Below are 25,247 nucleotides of genomic sequence, written 5' to 3'. Positions count from 1 at the left end.
TGTGTGTGTGTGTGTGTGCACGCGCACGCGAAGAGTCAGAAAGGTAGCTCATCTCATATTCTGCTGCTAGGAGTGATCATGGACATGACCTCTAAGGAAGGGAATTTGACAATATTTACCAAAATTACAAATGCATACCCTTTGATTCAGTGATTCCATTTAAGGAGTTGATCCTACAGGTATGCTCTCCCATGCATGCATGAATGTACAGTTATTCGTTGCAATAGTGTTTGTTAAAGCAAAAACTAGGAACCGCCCTTATATGTCCTTCATCAATGGACTGGTCTGTGGTTTAGACGCTGTAAGCAGAGGCATTGCTGGCCAAAGTTCAAGCTCTTTATCCAGCGCCAGAACATCTCACAAGGTGGAATCAGCCCAACTTCTCAGCTTCATTTTCCAACTCTCTCGCCATGAATTCCACCCTCCATTTGAACTTTAAACTCCTGCAGGACAGAGACCTGTCCTGAGGCAGCTTTGTATGCACATAGGTGCCACAGTGGTCAACTCAGATCGTGCTATGTGGACTAAGTCATTATCTGTGGGTGAATGGACACCCGAATAACCAGTCCTGATGCCCTAAACTCCCTCTCACACCCTTTCTTCACACTGCTGCCTCTGTCTGGAATAACCCTCCTCCCTCTTTGGTGAAACCCTAGTTATTCCTTACAGCCCACTTTAACCTTTCCCAAGCCAACATGTTTCTCTCCCATCTCTATCCCCAGAGCCCTTTCCCAGTACCTATTACAAGGCAGGTCTCGTTATACTCTTGTCGTTGTGTAGATCTGCCACCCCTTTCAGATTATAAAATCCTTGAAAGTGAAGACTATTTGGTATTTTTATCCCCAGGGTCTGTCATAGTTCCTGACACACATTAGGTACTCAACAAATATTTGTTGTTGAATGACTTGTGAGGGAAGGAAGAAACTTGGAGAATCTTCACTAGTCATCTTATTAGCTGAGAAATATACATCAGCATTTCAACTCAGTGAACTGCTATCTTGGAAATCCAGAGGTCCTAGCCTTTGGGATTCAGATAATGAAGCAACAACATTTTAATGGGGAGGAGGAGGCATGGAGTTACTTTATCATTTCCAAAACCCAATTATTCTTTGAGATATACCAGAATTCAAAGAGAGTTTTTTCTTATCAACAGAGTTTCCCGCAGTCCTTTTTTGAGACATGGTTTTTGAGCTCTGTAACCCCTGAGTCCCCCATAAGGAAACTGAGCAAGTGAAGACATCCAGGCAAAAAAAAAAAATATAGCCACCTTCTAGGGAATGCCCGAAGTTGGAGCAACCATCCCAGTTGCTATAACCACAGTGACTAAATGATGAGCTACTTCTACCCTCTCCTAATTAGGTGGGAAAAGTCCCCAAAGAGGCAACTGAGACAGCAAGAACCTTTAAGCTGTGCAGCAGACACTAATGCTGAGCTATTTTCAGTAGCAGTCAGCATCCTGGCCAGGTAAACACCAGAAACCTGTTCTGTTTAGGGGCAGTCCTGCCTGACTGGCTAGTGGCAGCAATTTAGTTGATTTATTTATGAAGAACCCATATGAATGTACTCCCTAAATCACTGCTAGCTCCTCCAAGGATGCAGTTTTAATGTTATCACTGCTCATTCAGCCAAGAGAGGCAAAAAGACTTCCCCATAACTCACAAAGCTCCTAATCCCCAGAGATTCATCACATTTTGATTCACAGCAGCCCCACTCCAGGAAGGAACAAAGGCATCATTCCAATGGGTTCATTGTTCTTTCATCCACTCTCTCATTCATTTGTTCAGCATACCTTATTGAGTATCCACTGATGCCAAGCACTGTGCCAGGCATTATGAGACTAACAAAAATTAAAAAGGCAAAATTGCTGCCTTCAAGCAGCTCTTATAGTCCATTAGAGAGGGTAAAACATGTACGTAATTAACCCTAATTGATGGCAATACTGTAGACTACAAAAGCTTTGCACAGTTTTAAAAAGTGCTAAGGGTGATTGCAAAATTCTCTTGTGTCTGGGTCCATCTATAAAAACTTCCTGAAAAAGATGGCATTTGGACAAAGTTATGAGGGAAACCTAGGCTTTGCCTGCATAGCATCTAGAAAAGAAAGTAACTCAAGTAAACACAATTACATCATGAAAAGGCCATCAGATTGAGATAGAAGTAATCTGAGATCTTGTCCCCTAGCTGCCACTTACACATATGTGATCTTGAGCAATGCTCTTGGGCATCTGTTTGTTCATCTAGAAGGTGCAGGGTAAACCAGAGAATCTGTGGCCTCCATTCAGTTCTGGCATTTTGTGTGGTACCCTGCGCTCCTGACATAGTTTGGATCTGTGTCCTTGCCCAAATCTCATGCTGAAATGTAATCCCCAGTGTTGGAGGTGGGGCCAGGTGGGAGGGAATTGGATCATGGGGGAGATTTCTCACGAATCATTTAGCACTATCTTCTTGGTGCTGTCATCGTGATAGTGTGTAAGTTCTCATAAGATCCAGTCATTTTAAAGTGCATGGCACCTCCCCTCTCTCTCTCTCTCTTGCTCCTGCTCTGGCCATGTGATGTGCCTGCTCCCACTTTGCCTTCTGCCATGATTGTAACTTACCTGAGACCTCCTCAGAAGCCAAACAGAGGCCGGCATCATGCTTCCTGTACAGCCTGCAGAACCATGAGCCGATTAAACCTCTTTTCTTTATAAATTACTCAGTCTTAAGTATTTCTTTATAGCAATGCAAAAACAGACTAACATGGCTCCCAAATTAGGAGGTGAGGTATCAGGAAGAAAGGAAGACAAGGAGTTAGCCAACCCTCAACTACATACTTCTGCTCAGAGACCCCCACGACAGATGATCAATAATTCCAAGGCATGTCTGCTGGTGCACATACATTGAGGCACACCAGTCAGATGTCAGCAGAGAGGTGTACATGAAGGGGAGAGCAGGAAGGAAAAAGATTAGCTAATTTAAGCAGATTTTTAATAATTTCTCAGGCTGGACATCTCCATCTCCAATAGATGATGTCTCAACTCCACTACTGCAGAAGCAGAAATGAAGGAGATTTGAGGTGGCTGTTGGTTTTTACTTTTTCTTACTTGTTCTAAACTGTGCTATTACAATAGAGGAGGTAGGCTGGGCAAACCGTATATCTGCACTGCACTTTCAAGAGCCCAATGAGAGGTATCATCGAGAAATCACAGCCCCTAAGTATGATGGCAGGAAAGGGCAGGAGGGGAGAGAGAAGAGAGAACAAAGCAAGATTAAGCACCAGAGAAAAGGAAAGCTAAAATGACTTCCTTTTTTCCAATGAAACTTCTAGTTTTACTCTTAAAAACCTCTACTAATAACCCCTGTGCCCATTTAAGAGCAGGGTTCTCAAAACTTCAGAAACTGGCAGCCTGTTCTTTCCTTTTTTTAACCAGCCGTATTTCATTTCTGGATCATCGCATAATATGCCAAGGGCCCTCCTCCCCCATACGCCATCACCTGCTCATTTACCTGAGCTATCTTCCAGACTCTGCATCTGTGAGAGCCCAGCAATAGTTCTTCTGATTCCATTCCCAGACACTCTGAGAAAGAGGCAGCCACAAGTCCTAATGTGGACACGTTTATACAACCAGGCACAGACAGATATAATTAGGCAGTAGTGCACCTAATCAGAGTTTGAATTTTCTTAGAGGTGCACAAACAATACTAATTTGATGGTGAAAGCATCTGTGTATCAAATTTAGAGGAAACGACCCAAGGAAAGCATTTGATTAGAAGAGACAAGAAAATGGAGGAGAAGGCAGTGGCTAAGAAGCAAATTTGTTTTTTTTGTGTTTTTTGTTTTTGTTTTTGCTTTTTGATATTTGGATAGCAGGTAAACAACACTATTTACCTGAAGTGGATCTCTTTCTTTTGAAAAATTAACTTATATTCAGAAACACGTGTGGCTCATGGCTTCATATTGAGGCTGTAAGCACTGGCAGGTTGCAGTCTTGCATTTGATCAGCCCCTCTTGAGGGCAGGGAGGCCTGCCTTTCACCAGTCATTGGCTCAAATCTCTGTACTCCATCTCTGAGAATTTGTGCAACAGGCACACAATTGTTAAAGTGTTTAGAATATCAGTTGATATGTAATTTTACATTCTGCTTTCCTCCCATTACCATTACAATATTTTTTCATAATGATCTTAGTAATTATTTATAATAATGTCATGGGCGTCCCACAAGTAGATATGCCATATTTACCAAACTGTTCCCTTTGATTAAACATTTAGATTGCTTGCTCTTTTTAAATTAAAAATAATACAATACAGCACCATGGAATCTTGGGACGAAATGAAAAATGAAAACTACCTTGAACCAAGCATGAGATAAAAATCTCCTAGTGTCTCCCACCTTACCAGGAATTCCTCACTGGGAGCAGAACTAACAATCAGTATTTAACTGAGCACCTGCTAAGTGTCATACTGGAACCCTCTAAACTTGTCATTATTGAGCTTGCTAAGCAAAAATAACATAGATAAAGATCTTCCTTTCATTTTCTCATCTGTCAGCTTTTGTTTTGAGTGGTTTTAGGACCAAACTCTTCTCAGGGAATGAGATGTTGCTGTGTTCCTTAATGTTTTCATCTTAGCTATGATGCAATAAACAATATTCAGGATGCCATCTATTGCTAATTGCATGTATATGTTTTTTTCTTTTCAAAGACAGTCATGAAAAAGGTGAGAAAATGTATTGAAAGTTAAAATTGGCAAAACTGTGGTCCTGAACTCTCAAAAGCATCAAAGCAAATGAAACTGCTGTGTGTAGATAGCACTAGAAGGCAATCAAGAAAAGCCAAGCAAAACAGTGGGACCTAGATAAAAAGGGTTAGCAGAAAGCAAGGGATTCAAAAAGGGCATCTCAGCAGCCAAAGGAACTCCAGGTTTTCCCTCTTAACAGATGAAACTGAGAGACACAGATTTAACTACAAATAGGCAGATAAACAAGAAAGCCTTTGCAATGAAGTACAGGCAATGAAGACTTTGAAGTGCTCATAGAAGAAAATCCAAACTCCCAAGCAAAGTAAGCAAGGCTGGCTTACCACTTCCCTCCTCACCCAGTGTTTACTCCAACCCAGACCATCCCTGGCCTCCTGCCCTCTCCTGCCTCTGTGTCTCTGCTCACCTCATTTCCTCCACCACGAAGGCTGTGCCTCTTTCTCCCTAACATCCGGCCAAAACAACCTTATTCCTTACATCTGGCAAACCCAGTACTAAAGTCGCTCTCATGGGTACAAAATAGTAGTTAGAAAGAATAAATAAGACCTACTATTTGAAAGCACAACAGGGTAACTGTCATCAATAATAACTTAATTGAACAATTTAAAATAAAAAGTCTAATTGCGTTGTTTGTAACTCAAAGGATGGATGCTTGAGAAGATGGATATTCCATTCTCCACGATGTGCGTATTTCACACTGCATGCCCATATCAAAACATCTAATGTGCTCCATAAATATATACAACTACTATGTACCTACAAAAATTAAAAATACAAATAAAATTTTAAAAATAAATAGGTAAAGTCGCTCTCATCATGAAACATCTCCATGCCCTCCCAATTGGAAGCAGTCTCTTCGCCATTGCACAAAGCTGTGGTCCCTCCCCTGCCCCGCCTGCCACATTCTGCCAGACTGTGCCTCTCTCAGCTCATTGTGACTTCTTGTTCATCTCTGTATTGCTCACAGCACTTGGCTCAGTGCCTGCTCATAGTCACCTCCCAATAAATGTAATCAAACCACGGACCAAACAAAATAGTTACTCCATTAATTGAGGTGGAAGTTGTAGCCTGGAGCCCAAAGAACTTTCCTCAGTTAAGGGAAAGTGCTACAGGGAAGAGTGATGAGGACAAGATGTGTAAAAGTAGCCTCGGGACACAGTGACTTTGTGAGAAAATGACTACTTAGAAGTCATCAGGAAAAGGAAATTGGGGGTTAGACAAACCACCTTATCTCTTAGCTCTCCCTCCCCTTCCCCTGTCTCCCTGGAACTCCCCATCCTCCGCTAGATAACAGAAACTGCCGCAAGCTTGTGTGGTAATAACCCCGAAATTTTTTGATAAGGAGTATGGGTTTGGAGATTTCTTTTTCTTTCTTCTTTCCTTCTATGTTTTGCTTCCAAGATTACAGAGTAAATTCACAAGAGAGAATATTAAAGCCAAAATTATGTCAACTGTGTCTCAAGAAGGTGCTTTTAACAGGATGAAGTGGATTGGGGGAGAAAGGCAGGAAGCTGAAATAATGTCAGAGCCCGATTTGCTGATGGATGTGCCGCTCCTTGTGAGTGTAGCCAGCCTCCCAAGTGTGTACAATGGGAGGTGTCAGAAGCAAACAACGTGCTGAGTGTACGGGAGGGAAAGGGTTCCAGACAGCCCCCACCACTTAAGCCCTGCACTTTTTAAAGGTCAAAACAAGTCCAATGCTCACTCCTCCATCCAGATCAACGACCCTGTGTCCTCCCTTCTTCTCCGTCACTTTTTGAGAAACACCTGAACCATATTCACATTGCTTCTCATTGGCTCTGGCCACACTCATTGCACTCACACAAACCTTTTCCCAGCTCAAAACTCCAGTGTAAGTTCTCCTTTCAGCTCAGTAAGACAATGAGTGACCTTGCCTCCTCCAGCATGCCCAAGACCAAGGTTATTAACAGAAGTCCCTGAATTCTCTCCTCTCCGGAATTCCCAGTGTGTGTCTACCATCTCCATCTCTCTGTGCTCAGAGGAAGGAGCCTCAGGGGACACCCTAGTTTCTCTCCCCATCTTTACCCTTCCACTCCCTTTCATTCTCTTGGTTCTTCCATCAACACATGAAATCTGAGTTCATCTGGGTTTCTTCTACATGTGTTTTTTGTTTGTTTGTTTGCTGGCTTGCTTAACTGTATCATTCACTGATACAGAGAATTTATTTGGATTGATCTATTTACCATCTTTTCTAATTTTCATTTCCACTGGGCAAACATATTTTACAAAATATTCAACATATACTTGGATTTTTCACTATTATAGCGCAGCCAGGGCAAGGGACTTCTGGTCCACCCCATAGTCCCTTTTTAAAGGATATGATCTCACTGTTATATTAACAAAGAAAATTAAGTTATAAGTTTACTCTTTCTATATGTCACCCATGTAACATTTTACATCATCAGCCTTTTCTCCATCTTATGAATAAATCCATTGAAATTAACTAAATATTGTCAAATTTTTAATACATTTTATTATTTCTTTTCAAACATTATTTTCAGGGAAATAAAGTTAACTTCCCCTCAGGTGTTCTACAATGACTCTACACCTCTGATTTAGCTTTTACTATATTTTCACATGATGGTATAACCAGACATTTTTTGCTTTAAGACAAACCCGCCCTCATTCCCCATTATTAAATTTATTATCAGTCAATTTGTCTTCCCTCTTGCTTTTCAGATAAAGCTAAAATTTCCAGTGAATGTCTTACAGCAGATTTTCAGTAGAGTATAATAAGTCATTTCACATGTATTCATCACCCCAAAATGTTGTATTTTAAAACTGCAATTTTCTTAATTGGCTGAAAAATAGTATGGCTTAGTTTCATTTGGTTATGCTGAAATAATTAAACACACACGCATTTTTAATCAAGAAAGAAAAATATCTTTAAGATATGCCGATTTGAAAAGGCTGCAAAGTAAAAAACAAAATAAAGCCAAATATCAAATCTAGTTTGTAGTAAACAAAACAATAATTGGCAGGTTAAATGGATGAAAAAATGAGGCATGTGCAGTGAAAAATAAAAACCAAGGTAAAGATTTCAGTTGGTGAAATTAAAAGCCTATGAAGTTTTATGGTCTGTTTTCCAAAGAATGTATGTTTCAGTGTGAATTTTTTTTTCTTTTTTTTTTTTTTTGAGATGCAGTTTCACTCTGTTGTCAGGTTGGAGTGCAGTGGTGCGATCTCAGCTCACAGCAACCTCCGCCTCCTGGGTTCAAGTGATCCTCCTGCTTCAGCCTTCCAAGTAGCTGGGACTACAGGCATGCACCACCATGCCTGGCTAATTTTTTGTATTTTAAATAGAATCAGGGTTTCACCATGTTGGCCAAGGTGTTCTTGATCTCTTGACCTCGTGATCCACCCATCTTGGCCTCCCAAAGTGCTGGGATTACAGGGTGAGGCACTGTGCCCAGCCTCAGTGTGAATTTTTAAATACTGCAAACATATATGTCATGTAGAATTAGGTGTCAATGTTAAAACTTCCAATTTTGCATGCTAAGTTTATTGAAGAAACACTGTAAAAGCCTAGTGTTTACAAAATTCTATGTGTTGGCAAATATTATAAATACCATAATTAGTTGATACTATAAAGTCATGATGAATTCAGAATTAAATGAAAATCCACTTCATAAATATTTCATTTGATTAAAAATGCCAGAGTTGGATGTTCTAAATGAACTAAAAAAAATTAAAGTCTTTTAAAAATAAGACCATAGACCCAGTGGCTCATGCCTGTAATCCCAATACTTTGGGAGGCCAAGGTGGGAGGATCACTTGAGCCCACAAATTCGAGACCAGCCTGGGCAATACAGTGAGATCTGTTCTCCACAAAAAAAAAAAAAAAAAAAAAAAAAAAAAATTAACACCATTTATATAATGTAGTCTGTATATGTATACCTTTAGCTGCCATTTGAAACAACAACAAAAAACATAGAAAATATTAAAGCTGATATGAAGTAAGCTTATAATTCTCTCATGCTTACATTTCAAGAAAAGAAAAACCCTTATACTCATTTATAAATAGTCTGTTTACCAGTAAATACACAGAACTCTCCTTATCCCAAAATCCGTTTGCATTTGCCACTTAACTAGGCTTTGTCCCTTGCTTTTTGGAACCCAGATTGCGTTCTGAGTGTTTTTACGCTTTTGGTGTGTTCTGCTATTTGTGCAGGGGAACCATATTATGAAGTTTTTTTTTTAACTTCTATTTGAATAACACCAAAAACTGTGGAAGCCTTCCTCCAGTCTTTGATGATCCAGACCAAGGGATTGTTCTTTTCCCACTCTTTTTGGAGCTCTGGCTAATCCTCAAACTTAGTTAGACTGGAAAGGAGCAATAGTGACTTAAGTACAATGGAACCACTGCTGCTTATGAAACACATCTTAGACTTATGGAGTGTGAGACTGGCCCAAAGAAGGGTCTTGGAAGCAAACTACAAAGATATTTTTAGCTTTATCTGAATTACAGAAACATCTTCAAAAGGACTTTCTCATTCTCACATCTCCATCCTTCAGGTCTTCAAAGACTAGCTCTTAGACTAGGGTTGGTTGCTAGCAAAACGGATAAAAGTAATTCTCCTTTTGTGTTTCTTGTTACCAGGTCAAGTCAAAACCAAGAAGTCTTGAAACAGAGAAATGTAAAGTTTATGTCTGTCTTATTTTTCAAGTTCCCATGGCAGAGCAATACTTTGCTTGTTTCAATTCTACGATCCTTTCACTTTTTCATCCAGTTACTCCAGTTTGTCAGTAAAATACTGGCACTCTAATTGGCCTTTCTTCTAGTTAATATCGGAGGGAATTCCCTGTGTTATCAATACAACGTTCTCTAGATGCTCAACCTCAGGGTGATCTTTTGGAGAATGTCTAAAAATGCCTTATCACACTAAAGATTATTTGATGAGGCAACTTTAAGGAATATCTAGGAAATTCTAAAGATCTAATTTTTGACTGAAAGGAGACTCAAGACATTGCTCAAGAAGTCTTGCATTCTTGAATCTTGTTTTTTTGGAAAGAAGTGCCTTGGCCACCAGCTGGTTATGACGATAGTCTTTACAGGTATTTAAGCTTGGCAACCAGTTCATGAGAATGGGCCCAGTCTGTTCCACTATTTCATCAGGTTTGGTTGTTTCTCCTATTCTTGCCAACAAATCTTCATGCAGAGATATGTAAGCATTCAAGTCACCAAATATAAGCATGAGTGCCCCCCATGAAACAAGAGACAACTGTAGTATGAGCTCATGGTATGCCTTTCTTGCAACCTTGAGATCCTCCATTAAATCCTGTTCCCTTCGGGACATTTCACATATAGCCCTACACTGATGTTTCTCCAGTAATGACTCCTTCACATACCATCTAATATCATTAACCACAATATCTTCTTTTAGTTGGTGTTGGGACCATTGATCTGCTAAATGACCTCTGAGCACAAGTCTCGGATGTGTTGTCACCATGAAGCGTAAATATATTTTTACACTAAAGCTCCATTTCTCACAGGAGAGATTAAGATGCCAAGGATATGACTGGAGCTTAAAGTCAGGGCTGCTAAGGCTTACGACATTGCAATCTTTCTCCCTTCAATTCCTTTTCAAAGTGAAGGCTCAGTGGAGTGCAGGTTTTCAAAAATGGAAAGGAGCTACCTCTCTAAGATAGAAAGGAATATCGCTTGTCAGGATCTGGCCCTGGATTGGGGTGTTGGCAGAAGTCTAAGTGGCACCAGAAGTACTAAGCCCAGAGACCTGGAGGCTCTGCCTCTGTGGCTGGGCTGCTAGCCTTGATTTCCCATCTTTAAAAAACCCCTCCCCACAGCTCTTCTACTGTCCCACTTTCCTTTGCTGATAATCATCTGGAAAATAATAATAATAATAATAATAATAATAATCCCATTATTCTTTTGTCAATTCAATGATATTTTATTCTACCCTACCTCCTCCAGTAAACATAAACTGTGTCTCAAAAGTTATGAATTGCTTACTCTTAATTGTCAAAATCCAGCGATCCCTCTTCAAAACACCTGACTCTCTGTAATTTCAGAGCAATGCTGATCACTTCTTTCTCAAAATTCTCTCTTCCCTGGGCTATTAGGAGACCCTTGTAAGTGTCTTGTATCCTGACCCCCACCTTGTCCTTTAAAAATATTCCAGAATAATCTGCCTTCATATTCTTTCCTTTTCCTTTTCTTCTCTGTACATTCTATATTAGGGTTCTCCAGAAGGACAGAACTAATAGGATATACACATATAGGAAAGGAAGTTTATGAGAGAAAATTTGCTCACACAATCACAAGACAAAGTCCTACAATTGGCTGTCTCCAAGCTGAGAAAGAAGCCAGTTGTAACACAATCCAAGTCCAAAAGCCTCAAAAATAGGGAAGCCAACAGTGCAGCCTTCAGTCTGTGGCCAAAGGCCCGAGAGCCCCCAGCAAACCACTGGTGCAAGTCCAAGAGTCCAAAGGCCGAGGAACCTGGAGTCAGGTGTCCAAGGACAGGAGGAACACATGGAAGCACCCATCATAGACGAAAGATGAAAACCAGAAGATTCGACTAGCCAGCTTATCCCACCTTCTTTTACCTGCTGCCATTCGATTGGAAGGTGCCCACCGACATCGAGGGTGAGTCTTCCTCTCCCAGTCCACTGACTCAAATGTCAATCTCCTCTACAATACCCTCACAGACACACCCAGAAACAGTAATTAACCAGCTATCTAGGCATCCTTCAATCCAATCAAATTGACACCTAAGATTAACCCTCACACATCCGCAGCAGCCTCATTGTTTCCATCATCTTTATAAAAATATTGCCCAAATCTACATCAGGATGGTGTTTTACAAAGATGCATGAGCAACAGTGGTCAAATGCAGCAGGAAGGGAAACATGGAGGGCAGGTATATTCCCAAGGAGACTCTTTCATCAATCCAGGTGCAAGGTGATGAGGTAAAAGACTGTGAATCATAATGAGATATCATTTCACACCCATCATGAAGGATATTACTTTTTTAAAAAGGAAAAAAAGTGTTGGTGGAGATATGAAGAAATCAGGATCTTCATGTATTGTCAATGGGAATGTAAGACGGTACAGTTGCTGTGAAACATAGTTTGATGGTTCCTCAAAGGTTAAACATAGAATTACCATATGATTCAGCAATTCTACTCCTAGGTATATACCCAAGGGAATTGAGAAGAGAGACTCAAACATATTCCTGCACACCAATATTCAGACCATTAATCTCAATAGCCAAAAGGTGGAAATAACCCATGTCCATCAACAGATGAATTGATTTTTTTAATGTGGTATATACATACAATGGAATGTTATTCAACCATTAAAAAGAAGAAAATTCTGATCCATGTTACAACACGGGTGACCTTGGAGACATTTGCTAAGTGAAACAAGCCAGTCAGTCACAAAAGAACAAATATTATATGATTCCACTTATATGAGGTTACCTAAAATAGGCAAATTCATAGAGACATACTGTAGAATAGAGCTTACCCAGGGCAGGGGAAAGAGGAAATGGGAAGTTATTGTTCAATGGGTACAGCGTTCCCATTTGGGATGATGAAAAAGTTCGGGAAATTGATAGTGGAAATGATTGCACAACCTTGTGAATGTACTTAATGCCACCAAATTGTACACTTGGAATGGTTAAAATGGTCAATTTTATGTTATGTGTATTATACCACAATAAAAAGTTTTATTTTATAAAAGGAAAAACCAAAACGTATGAATGGCAAGTGAATGGAGGACAAGTTTCATCTGAAATAGTTTCAAAGGAAGAAATAAGAGGCCTTAATGGCAAATAACATAGCGATACAGAGGGCAAGGAGTGCAGAGAGAATTGAAAGAGTAAGATCAATCTTCATCCTCACTTTGTGTTCATTTTGAAGTTACTCACTCATTTGTTCATTTATTCTACTAACATTTATTAAGCATCTACTACGTGCCACGCACTGTTCTAAGTACAAGAGATAGGGGATACGGAAGTTAATAAAATAGGCAAAGTCCCTGATCTCATGAAACTTATTTTCTAGTGGAGGATAATAGATAAGGAACACATAATCATATAAATGTAAAATTTGTTAAGATGTCAAAAGTGCTATAAAAAATAATAAAAGGAAATAGGAAATCATGGGGCGTAGAATGCTATTTTATATGCAGTAGTCAAGGAAGACCTTTCAGTTAGGTCTAACTGATTGATCAAAGGTCTAAAGGAAGTGAGTGAGTGAGTCACATAGGTATTTGTGTAAAAAGCCTTCAGGAAGAGGAAACACTAAATGCAAGTATATACAAAGTCCTGAGGTTGGAGAGTTCAAGGAAATCAGCAAAGAGCCCATGAAGTGGGAGCTGAGTGAGTGATGAGGAAGTAAGAGTTGAGGTCAGAGAAGAAGTCAGGAGGGGGAGATCCTGTGGACTTTGGCTTTCACTGTGAGAAAAACAGAGAACTATTAAAAGTTAGGGGCAGAGAAAGGATATAATCTACTTTGTATTTTAAAAGCTTATTATGAGGAAAATACATGGTTGGGGTTGCATTCAGGGGGATCCTTCAAGACCACCCTCAGATTCAGTGATCTGCTACAAATAACTCAGAACACGGCAAAGCTATTAGACTCACTATTGTGGTTTATTCCAGCAAAATGGCACAGATTAAAATCCACAACGGAAAGAGGCACACAGGATATGGTCCAGAAGAAAAAGGTGCAAGCTGCCGTTTATCCCTTCCTTGTGGAATCAGATAGACAGTGTTTAATTCTACCTGCAATGTTGTGTGAACTGAGCAATACTCACAAGGCATCAGCCATCACAGAAGCTAACCCAAGCCTTGATGTCCAGGTTCTTTAATGGGGGTTGGTCACGTCGGCATGACCAATCACCCATGCGGTTGATCTTAATTACTCAGTATATTAGTCAGGGTTCTCCAAAGAAACAGGACAACAAGATGTATATACAGAAAGATTTTTTTTTTTAAGGAATAAGCTCATGCAATTGAGGCTTGGCAAGTCCAAAATCTGATGGAGTAGCCCAACAGGCTGGAGAATTAGTGAAGAGTTAGTTCAAAAACAATCTGCTGACATAATTCTTTCTTTGCTTTACCATAGACTTCACACACACACACACACACACACACACAAACACACACAGAATTCCTTCCTCATCAGGGAGGGTCAGTCTGTTCTCTTATGACCTTCAACTGATTAGATAAGGCCCACCCACACATTATGGAGGTTAATCTGCTTTACTCAAAGTCTACTAAGTTATATGTTAATCTCATCTAAAAAAGATCTTGACAGAAACACCCAGAATAATGTTCCAGCAAGTATCTGAGCTCTGTGGGCTCACCAAGTTGACACATAAAATTAACCATCATACTCAGTCTCAATTCCTCCAGAAATAAAGTTGATACCAGTTTTATTACTGGTTTTATTGCCTAAATTTTATTACCCAAGGCCCTCGCCATTAATCACATTATTAGCGTAAACTATCTAGAGTGGCCTAAGACGTCAGGTAAACAAAGGCACTCTTAACAGTCAGAATATTCCAAAGCCTTACAAGTTATTTCCCAGTAGCCAGGTAAGGGCCAAACTTTCTTTGAAATGTACAAGGTTTGGACAACTAAAACCTGCTGAGTTAATCATTTACCACATAAGGGTTAGGGTGGAAGCAAGAGCAAGTTAGATTTTTGTCTAGATATACAGCAAAAATCCAGATGCTAGATAGTAGTAGTTTGGGTGAGGGGGGTAAAGATGAAAGTCGTGAGAGGTGGGCACACACCTTGGAAATCTTTTCCTGGTAGAACCAACAGGGTTTGTTGTTGAACTGGGTATGAGATGTGACAGAAAGAGAAGAGTTGGGGTAATGCCAAGGTTTTTGGCCTAAGTAGTTAGAAACATGGGGAAAACTGAGGAGGAACAGGTTTGGGGCAGCAGAGAAGAAATAGTGAGTTTGGTTTGGACATGTTATGCCAGCCTCATCACAGTTCCCAGTGGAGATGGACAGTCAGCAGTTGTATTTACAAGTGAGGAGAAATTGGAACTGGAGATAAATATATTGGGAGTCGTCAGTCCATGGGTTAAGTGAGGAGAATGAAGAAAATTATGTCCAAGAACTAAGCCCTTGGCCATGCCCACATTGAGAAAGAATGACTAAAGGGAATATCAAAGGATCACCTGGTAAAGGAGCAGAAAAAGCAAGACTGAGTGCTTATCTGCAAGCCAAGGGAAGAGCTTTTCTTTCTTCTCTTTTTTTTTTTTTTTTTTTTTTTTTTTTTGAGACGGGTCTCACTCTGTCACCTAGGCTGGAGTGCAGTGGCACGATCTCGGCTCACTGGAACCTCCACCTCCTGGATTCAAGTAATTCTCCTGCCTCAGCCTCCTGAGTAGCTGGGACTACAGGAGCATGCCACCATGCCCAGCTAACATTTTGTATTTTTAGTAGAGACGTGGTTTCATCATGTTGGCCAGGCAGGTCTTGAACTCCTGACCTCATAATCCACCGCCTTGGCCTCCCAAAGTGCTGGGATTACAGGCATGAGCCACCGTGCCAGCCAGGAAGAACTTTTCAAGAAGCAAATGGTCAATTGTGCCAAATGCCTATCGACAGGTCAAAGAGAATATCTTTGAAATGATCATTGAATTTGGCAATTTAGATGTCATGGGTGACCTTGCCAAGAGAAGATTTCAAGATGAGTGGAGATAAAAATCTGTTTAGAGTTGGTTAAAGAGGAAATAGGAACAGAAGTAGGAATGGTGACTACTGGTAGCTGTTGTCCTTGTCATATTCTCCTCCCTGCCATGCCTTGGAATCTACTCATTGCCCCGTGGCCCCTGCCTAGAATTCTGTATGTTCTGGCTTTTAACTAATGCTGTCTTCAACATGCTGGCCTCGGCAGTGGAGTGGTTCTAGGGAAGTCACACTTCCTTTTACTGCTCTTCCCTAATCCCCCTGCAGCCATGACACCATGTAGACTATACTGTATGTTTGAACAGACTTCATGGAAGTATGGAAGTTAACTGGGGAATAATGTAACCTGATGTCAAATATAACCATTCCAGCGTTCAAGAGGAAAAGGACCAAAAATTAAACTCTTCATGGGGGGGTCCCCTCATGGGCACACACCAGCTTCTAATCTTTCTCCCATCTCTAGAGTTTTTTTCCTCCTCTCCCCTCTCCCATTGAGCCATCACAAGGTTGGTCTTACCTTAAGATTCATGCCCCATCACCACTATAGCAATTCCTGGGACACAATGATTCCTCCATGATATGATCTGCAGAGTCTTTAGCTGAGAATATACCATTGAGGACAATGTGAGTCATGTTTCTTCAGATTTAAAGCTTCATATCCAAGTCATTCCACACCCTAAAGCAATGGTTTCCAAAGGTTGGCATGCCTAAGAGTTACTCTGGGACTTGGTGTGTAAACCAAAAGTATCTGAGATAGGTCTCAATCAATTTAGATTTTTTTTGCCAGGGTTAGAGGACACACACAGAAGAAAAAACACAGAATCACAGAAACAGTCTATGGTCTACCTTTCTCAAAAGATGACTTCGAGGGCTTCAATATTTAAAGGGGAAAAACAGGCTGGAGGGGAAACAGGGAGGGCATGGCAATCCACATGTTGCAAGAGAAAAGGAACAGGTAGGGGAACAGTCAGTTATATATATTGTCTCATGCTCAGTAACTCAGCACTTTACAAAAGATAAGGTGAACATAAATTAGCTACCTACGGAGATACTTAACCTTTTATCTGTAGCTCTCTGCTTAGGGACAAAAGGAAAGGCAGTTTCTGGCATGACTCAGCTTTCAGCTTCATTTTTTTTTCCTTCTGGCAGAGTGAATTGGAGTCCTAAGTTTTTATTTTCCTTTCACAAGTGTAAATGCACATTCCTGAGCTCCACCCCCAGAAATGCTCATCCAGTGAACTTTAGGTGAGGCCCAGGAGCCTGCACTTTCAAATGATACATTAAGAAAAGCATTTCTTAAGCAGGTGGTTCTCTGACTTCCCCGGTTAGGGATCTGCATTCTTCAGAAGTTCCTTGTGTCTTCTGTGGTGCTGAGACCCTTCAATTCTAGGTCATACCTGTGTAACTTATAAAGTGGTTTATTTTGGGTCACAATCCTGCAGGCTCTGCAGGAATCATGGTGCCAGCATCTGCTTCTGGAAGCTTACAGTCATGGTGGAAGGCGAAGGGGAGCAGACACATCACAGGGCAAGAGCTGGAGCAAGAGATTCAGGGAGGTAAGTTCTCAGACTTTTAAACAACCAGATCCCGCATGAGCTAACTGAGCAAGAACTCACTTATCACCAAGGGGATGGTGCTAATCCATTTAGGAGGGATCCATCCCCATGATCCAATACCTCCCCCTAGACCCTTCCTCCAACATTGAGAATCACATTTCAACATGGGATTTGGAGGCGACAAACATCCAAACCATATCAACACCCCCATTGAAGCTGGTTGGACCTGCAGGAACTCATGCAAGAGATGGGGGGTGGGGAATGAGGGGAGCTTCCAAGACCCCTCTTACCTCCCTACCAGAGATGATGCAGTCATTAGCACAGAATGGAAACATAACTTGAATCAAGCTACTGATTAAACTTGGGTCTGGTTTCTTGGCTGAGGTCAAAATACATTCATTTCCCTGTCCCTAGGGCTCACTCAATTTTATAGGTCAGTCCTTGGCAAGCCCTATTGACAGAAAAGTAAGTGAAATAAAATAACTGGCCCTTTGGACCAAAAGTTCTGTTAAACAATATGCAAGACTCAAGCTTGCATATTTGTCTCCTATGACACTTGGCCTCTGACTGCTATTGGGCTGATGGTCCAATGACATCATTTCGGCCTCTCCGGGGAGCATTTCCTGCTAAAGATCCTTCCTTATAACACCTCCTATTGCCTCACCCTCTTCTACCCAGGAAGTACTTTCTCTTTGTTCTCTTCCACGGCTCACAGTGACATCAGTGATCCTTGACAGCCAGAGCCAAAGTGGCTTGAAAGATGGGGGAAGCCCACCCAGGCTCAGACACATGGGCATGCCCAGCTCCCCCCAGAACAGTTTCAGGCCCCACTTGAAGCATCAGGCTAAAGAAATACCCTCTGAGGCAAGATTTCTAACTTGTTAATGTGTTAGCAGCAGAATGCTTTTTCCCTCTCAAGATTTATACAAAACCCACTGTACACTTGTGCAAAAACCAGATAAAAGTAATCTTTCATGATTCAAATTGAGTTTGGAGCTTACAGCCCAGCCATCTCCGCCTTTGCTACCCTCTCGGCAGTGCCGTAAATGAAGTGGCTTGAAAAGTCCCTGTTCAGTAAGATCACCGTGACTCGTAGAACCTTCACAGCTTTGGGCTCTGGGTCTTCCCAGCCTTGAGTCATCTCTTACACAGAAATGACCTGGATCCTCTTCTTCTACCTAAATGAGAAATCTTGCACATCTGTGAAGTCCTGAACCTTCCATCTGACTGCAAATTCGTAAGATAAGATTGAACAACACAACCCCTGATGAAGAGTCAATGCTTCCCACAGGTCCTGGGGCTCGCCTCCCAGTTCAGGGACCTCTTTCCTGCTGGGATCAGCACCACCTGGGAACATGCCCTCTGCCTTGTCAGAAATCGTGTTCACAGCCTACTCGCTTCTTGACCCATCACATTCTTCTCTTCCCCATCTCTCTTCTCAGATCTATATTTTTCTTTCTCTTATCTTTGTCCCTCAAAGTATTGCCCAAGCAGCCATTTCATAGGTTAGCAAAAAGACCTGATGTGAAGGTTGTCTGTAAACAGTGGTAAAATAGGACACCGAAAAAAAAAGCAGCATTAATTTAAAAAGGCCAGGAATTTCCACTAAACACACAGGATTGTTATAAATGCCAACACTTCCTTTTTACAACACACATCACATAGAAAAAGTGTAGTAAGAGGGGTCAGGAATTTTTTCTTAGAGTTTGTCTTTTACATGCACCTAAATAAATAAGAGCATATATATAGTTTCAGTTTTAAGTCAAGACCCAAACCTTTTCTTTAAACAGTAGATAGGTAAGTGTAACATTACAAAGTAATGATAAATTAACTTCACATTTCATTTTTTTCAGTACTTGGTGCATGCAGAAAATGCTAAAAGGTACATTTGAAGCAGAAAAATGTTGTGCATGTCTGAAATTTCTTCCTGGCTTCTATTTCCAATTACTTATTTAATGATACTAAGCAAGTCTGAATGAGAAAGAACATCTATTCATTCAAACCCCTGAGATGTGGAAGAAAAAATCTGATTGTGTTCCATATAGGTATGTGCTATGTAATGCATTTTTTAATGATCAGAAAAATGCCCACAAAATTTGATGATATGTCACTGATGTAAACTGAGAGCTTGAATTTGCTCATGGAAGGCATCATCAGCCAATGTAAAATACCTGGGATGCTAAGCCTACCAGGCTTACATATTAATTACGTTAGGTTGTGATGACCCATTAAAATGATGCTCCCAGAGGCAGCTGACCCACACTTTTGAACCTTTCCTGGTACTTTAGATGCAGTGATCATTCCCATGTCTAAATACTTACTACCAAATATGAAATGGATAATAGTGTGTCCTATAGACAGCATAGGAGGGTCAGGGACCCACCTGGGTCTAGGAGAACAATGGCATCAGAAACATGGATGCTGTCAGGGGTCCCAGAGGACTCATCCCCTCATGTGGGCTTCATTCTCCTTACCACGTACCACCTTCTTTCACACAGCAGGAGAAATGACCACCTTGTCTCCAGCTCTAGAGAGGCCGTGGGACCTGATGTCTCAGTTACCAGTTCCAAAATCTCAGGGTAGTATCAGCGGGGTCAGGCTTCCATCCCCAAACTGGACGGGGGGAAAGGGCCTGTGTAAAGACCATTTCACATGCTCCCCTGAAACACAAGATTGGAAGGAGCATTTCCCAGCAGAAGGCAGCGCTGTTCTAGGCGTACAAAACCCCAGATGTCAAAACAATTTCTGAATATTTATGTTGTATTTGGTGAGGCAATATACAAAAACACTTAAAGAGCAATTAAGCACAGGAGCTATCCCTAGACAATACATGATCTCTTATCAAAAAGATATCATGGGAAACTTGGAAAACATCATGCCAAATTAAAGAAGCTAGTCACAAAGAGCACATATTATATGATTTCATATATAGAAAATGTCCAGAATAGGCCAGGCACAGTGGCTCATGACTGCAATCCCAGCACTTTGGGAGGCTGAGGCAGGCGAACTGCTTGAGGTCAAGAGTTGGAGGCCAGCCTGGCCAACGTGGTGAAACCACATCTCTACTAAAAAATAAAAAAGAATTTAAAAAATTAGCCAGTTGTGGTGGCACATGCCTGTAATCTCAGCTACTCAGGAGGCTGAAGCATGAGAATCGCCTGAACCCAGGAGGCGGAGGTTGCAGTGAGCTGAGATCAAGCCACTGCACTCCAGCCTGAGTGACAGAGCGAGACTCTGTCTCACGGAAAAAAATGTCTAGAATAGACAAATTTATAGACAGAAAATTGATTCACAGTTGTATTGGCCTGGGGTGGGGTGGGAAGATAGCATTAGGAGGAAATGGGAAGTCATCATAAATGTGTGTCATGGTGGTTTTCCGCACAGATCAACCAGTCACCAAGGTATTAAGCCCAGCATCCATTGGCTGTTCTTCCTGATTATTGACTATTCTTCCTGGATAACCAAAGGGAATTGGTTATTCCCTTTCCTCATCAACCCCTGCCCCTCCGACAGTCCCCAGTGTGTGTCATTCCCCACCATGTATCCATGTGTTCTCATTGTTTAGCTCCTACTTCTAAGTGAGAATATGTGGCAGTCACCATATCTTGAGAATGGACATTGGCTGCAGAGCAGGAGCAGAGTCCAGAAGGCCCCCGCTGTGCCAGACATTAACTCTGCAGTTGCCGAATTTAGCCTTCAATTTTCTAGATTGTGTGAGAGAATTGGGGTGATGGCTATTGTATAATTTTAACAACCAGGATAACCAGGGTTCTGGTGCACTCTCACTGAATACTAGCTTGATTCCCATTGAATATAGATTGAAAACACCTGATATTAGCAGTAAATATTATGACTTCTGAGGCTATATACAGTTAGACAATAAGAATCTAGCTTTTCCTGGGCCTGAATCATATGAGAAAGTTGAAAATGTTTGTGTCCACTATTACTACTAATCAGTGAATATATTTTATAGAGAAGGGAAGAGGACTTAAAAAGGGGGCATCTTCATCTAGCTGACACCAACAACTCAGCCAAGACAAAGTTACTGGAGATTCCTAACAGAATTGATCTTCCTTTTGGAACAAAAGACTAACCAACCTTGAAATTATGACTTAGTTCTTAGCATATAGCACAGTGGAGAAGAGCTCAACCTCTGGAATCAGACTGTATGAGTTTCAGCGATGGCCCCATCGCTTACTGGGTGTGCCTCAGTTTCCCCATCTGTAAAATGGGGATCACAACATCCAACTCATAGGATTTTTTTCTTAGAGTTAAATAAGCAAGTGGATGTCAAATGCCTGAGACCCGGTGAGTGCTCACTAAATGTTAACCATTACTGTTAGCTGTGAGGAACAACCCACCAGGATTAGAGGACTCCAGGAGGGAAAGGGCCAGAAACGGAATTATAATAAGAACCCATATGGTCTGGAGACAAAAATTCTAATTGCCACTCTGCCCACGATAAAGCTATTTTCATCTTCAATACTAATCTCCTTTTTTTCTATATGTCATGCCACCAAGGAAGCATTGGTGAATGTCTAGTAAACTAGACGATTATATGTTTTCTCTAACTCATAAAATGAGGTGATTTCCAAATGTTTATCCCTAGGTTTGTTGATGTAATGAGCACATTCTACTTGTTACTAAATAGAAAAAAGAATCTGAAGAAAAGCTTAGAGGCGTAGCATTCTAACATTAGGCACTAGGGGGAAATCTTATTTGATGGATGTGGTAGGAGGTATTATCTCTTATAAATATGGGATGCTTCTTTAGGAGGCAAAATTGTTTCAAATAAAAAAAATAGAAAGCCTTTTTATGACTGTTGAAGACGATATGCCCAAATGGATAATGCTTTAAAACTTGGAATGGATTGCACATTTAAAACTAAACTCTAAAATAAAATAGACATTCTAATTCCAAACAAGAGCATCCCTGGCATTTCCTGTAAAAGGAAAGGACTTTTGGTGTGAGTTGGGCCTTGGCAAAGGACACAGCCTGGCAGGCCCCAGCGCATGTTGCCAGATGAAATATGCATGCCCAAGTGGCTGATTGGCTCTAACTGAGATACATGGTGGCCCAAGGTTTCTGAGGCTCCTCAGAATGCAGGTGGCCTTCGTATCAGACTGGCTGAGGGGCAAGGCAGAAGTCAATTGATACGATTCAGCTCTGTGTCCCCATGCAAATCTCATCTCAAGTTGTAATTCCCAGTGTTAGGGGAGGGACTTGGTAGGAGGTGATCGGATCATGGGGGCAGATTTCCCCCTCGCTGTTCTCATGATAGTGAGTTCTCATGAGATCTGATGGTTTAGAAGTGTGTAGCACCTCCTCCCTTGCACTCTCTCTCTCTCTCCTGCCACCCTGTAAAGAAGGTGCTTGCTTCCCCTTCGACTTCTGCCATGATTGTAAGTTTCCTGAGGCCTCCCAGTCATGCTTCCTATTAAGCCTGTGGAACTGTCAGTCAATTAAACCTCTTTTCTTCATAAATTATCCAGTCTCAGGTAGTTCTTTATAGCAGTGTGACAACAGACAAATACATCAATCGACTACCCAGTGGCTCCTTAAGGAGCATGACCAGCTGAACTGCTGTATTGTGGAGTATCAGAACAAGGGCCAGGCTAACAAGTGCATCCAGCATCAGCATGGGTTACAAAGAAATCTCATTTATTTTGCTACCGTCACAGACACCAGCCCAACCAGTACTTCAAAAGCAATGAGACAATCTTCCAGTTGGCTGTTGTGAGGAGTAATTGAATGTAATCCATCTCTTAGAAAATGGAGACAGGATTTTTACCAACTTAATTGCTTAAAACATGAACGAAAGCCCTATGGCTCTTTTAAAAACTGTGAGTGTGCAAAGAAAGCTAACTTAACTGTATTCTCAATGTAAATATTTATTTTAATGATTAAGCAAATCCCTCAATAAGGTGACCCCAGGTGTTCTCTTTCCTGGATGTGGAGCATGTTTGGATAACAAAGACATCACTGGCATCTGCAAGCCTACTTTTTAGTTTCAACCCAAAGAGGAAATTGAGTAGGCCTCAGGCAGGAATTGGTGGGACTCCTGACTGAGCCCTTGCTACATAGACAGGTAACTCTGTGCTCCTTCCTACCAGTTTGTCAATGCCTTGAAATAAAGCTTACTTTTCCACACAATCCTCCTTCTCCTAATACTTCTCCTCCTCCTTTCTTCCCAATAAAGGAATCTGATGGAATCAAGAATGTAATGAAGCAATAAAAGGCCTAATTGAAGCTGAAAGCCAATTCCATCCCTGACCTTTTGCAGGAACTTATTTTGGTCACTGAAGTGTTGATGTTGCACTACAGTGTTATATCATGCCCTGGTTACCAGGAAGAATATCTCCCCAACCTCAGGACAATCAAGGTTTCTCCTCCCTGATTTTGGCAAATATGGAGAAGCTACCCATAAGGAATGAAAGCTGAACCTAATAAGCATTAGGGCAGTGTGTCTAAAGTGCTCTCAAGGAAATCTGGAGGCATCTTTAGAGCCTTTCTCCAGACACATCACATGTATCATTTAGGGTAAGCCAGTCTAGTTGCTGTAATAAGCAAACCCCAAAATAAGTAATGGTGCCAGCATAATAAAAGCTTATTTCCTTCTCAAAGTCCAAAGGGAAGTTGCTGCAGGCCGGGCGCGGTGGCTCAAGCCTGTAATCCCAGCACTTTGGGAGGCCGAGGCGGGCGGATCATGAGGTCAGGAGATCGAGACCATCCTGGCTAATCTGGTGAAAGCTCGTCTCTACTAAAAATACAAAAAAATTAGCCGGGCGTGGTGGTGGGCGCCTGTAGTCCCAGCTACTCAGGAGGCTGAGGCAGGAGAATGGCATGAACCTGGGAGGCGGAGCTTGCAGTGAGCCGAGTTCAGTGCCACTGCACTCCAGCCTGGGCGACAGAGTAAGACTCTGTCTCAAAAAAAAAAAAAAAAAAAAACAGAAGTTGCTGATTGGACACAGCCTCCTTCATCTTGTGTTTCTGAATATATTCAATACGTGGCTTTCAAGTTTTCTTAGTTTGTCTGCATCAAGCCAAAGAAACGGGAAATAGCACAGAGTTCCCATTAGAAATCTTTGTGGCCCAAGTCCTTTCTGCTCAGTTACATAGCCAGACATTACTGCCTGAGAGGCAAGGAAAGATAGGGTAACTGTGGGCTCCAGGAAGAAGAGAAGCGAGTTCGTTGAATAACTAGGCAGTTTTTGTGTGTGGATTATATTGCTGTCCCTTCTTCATCACCCTCCTTGTCTACATGATCTTCCAATAAAACCTTGCAGGACCCTCTCACTATGCAATGGCATACATCACTTCCCCTTCCCTTTGGGTATGGCCATAAGACACTTTTGGACCATAGAATGAGACAGGAGTGACAGGTTGCCAGTTTTGAACCTTGGCTTGAGAGATCCTGTATGGGTGCACCTGCTCTCTTTGCCTCTCATCACCATGAGAAGAGCATACCTGGGCTAGCCTGCTTGTCCTCAGGCAGGATCAGGGACATGCAGCAGAGCCAAGTCTCTCTAGTCTAGCCCAGCTCAGATCAAACTACCCTTAACATCAGATTCATGAGAATTATCATTTTAAGCCACCGAGTTTTGGAACAGTTTGTTAGGGAGCAGATTTCGGCAATATCTGTTACATTCTGCTACATCACCACTCAACAAATATTTTTTAACTCTGAAACAGAAATCTACAACAGTTTCACTACTGATATCACAATTAAAAGTCAATCCTTCTTCCCTTCAAGCCTTATTTAAAAAGCATATGTAATAGTCCAAAATTTAGCTAAAATTAAGTTCATTTTAGATTACCTAACAAACCTTTGGTGAATTGGAACACAAATGTCTGTTTTTAAATGCATCCATTCCTATATTAACAGTTTATGATTTGGTTGAGGGAACTAATGCATTGTTGCTGGTTATGAAACAGAATAATATGGTTATAGTTAGCATCATTTTCATATACTTTATAAAGAAAATTTTTATGATGATATAATAAAGATATGAGCGTTGTTTGTTCTGAAAGCTCCAAAAATGTACTTTGAGTTCCCATGGATCAAGTTGAAGGGTAATTATTTATTTACTCAACAGACTGTGTTTCAATGCAGTTGTTGTGCCTCTTACTGAAACGGCTCCGTTGTCTGCGGTATATACCCTGGCTCTTGGTCTCGGTCAAGAAAGAATTCAGGACACGGACATACATGAGCAGTGGGTTCAGGAGCAGAAAGTGTAATAGCAAAAGAAAAGAGAGAGAAA

General features: G+C 41.2%; 1 long non-coding RNA gene and 2 pseudogenes across 2 annotated transcripts in view, besides 3 other annotated features; 1 reads left to right on the top strand and 2 right to left on the bottom strand.

The window, feature by feature from the left end:
- The window catches only part of LINC01630 (long intergenic non-protein coding RNA 1630), a 170,428-nt gene that overhangs the window by 118,708 nt on the left and 26,473 nt on the right, over positions 1-25,247 (bottom strand). The window lies entirely within an intron of this gene.
- LOC100420949 (neuroepithelial cell transforming 1 pseudogene) lies at positions 8,823-10,519 on the bottom strand (annotated as a pseudogene).
- Positions 16,154-17,353: an enhancer, noted in NCBI's record as "MED14-independent group 3 enhancer chr18:48952779-48953978 (GRCh37/hg19 assembly coordinates)". NCBI's record gives its function as "activates an origin of replication core promoter dependent on BRD2, BRD4, P300/CBP and CDK7 cofactors, and independent of MED14, by STARR-seq in HCT116 cells {active_cell/tissue: HCT116}" and the evidence as "EXISTENCE:reporter gene assay evidence [ECO:0000049][PMID:35650434]".
- Positions 18,196-18,325: an enhancer, noted in NCBI's record as "active region_13331". NCBI's record gives its function as "activates an Ori minimal core promoter by ATAC-STARR-seq in GM12878 lymphoblastoid cells {active_cell/tissue: GM12878}" and the evidence as "EXISTENCE:reporter gene assay evidence [ECO:0000049][PMID:35858748]".
- Positions 21,573-22,347: an enhancer, noted in NCBI's record as "H3K27ac hESC enhancer chr18:48947785-48948559 (GRCh37/hg19 assembly coordinates)". NCBI's record gives its function as "activates a minimal SCP1, AML or CMV promoter by ChIP-STARR-seq in primed H9 embryonic stem cells {active_cell/tissue: H9 hESC(primed)}" and the evidence as "EXISTENCE:reporter gene assay evidence [ECO:0000049][PMID:30033119]".
- SS18L2P2 (SS18 like 2 pseudogene 2) lies at positions 22,521-23,109 on the top strand (annotated as a pseudogene).

This window comes from Homo sapiens, chromosome 18, assembly GCF_000001405.40.
Source record: "Homo sapiens chromosome 18, GRCh38.p14 Primary Assembly".
Lineage (NCBI taxonomy): Eukaryota > Metazoa > Chordata > Mammalia > Primates > Hominidae > Homo > Homo sapiens.
The sequence above is the reverse complement of the archived record's forward strand: the minus strand, read 5'-3'. Positions and strand labels throughout refer to the sequence as shown.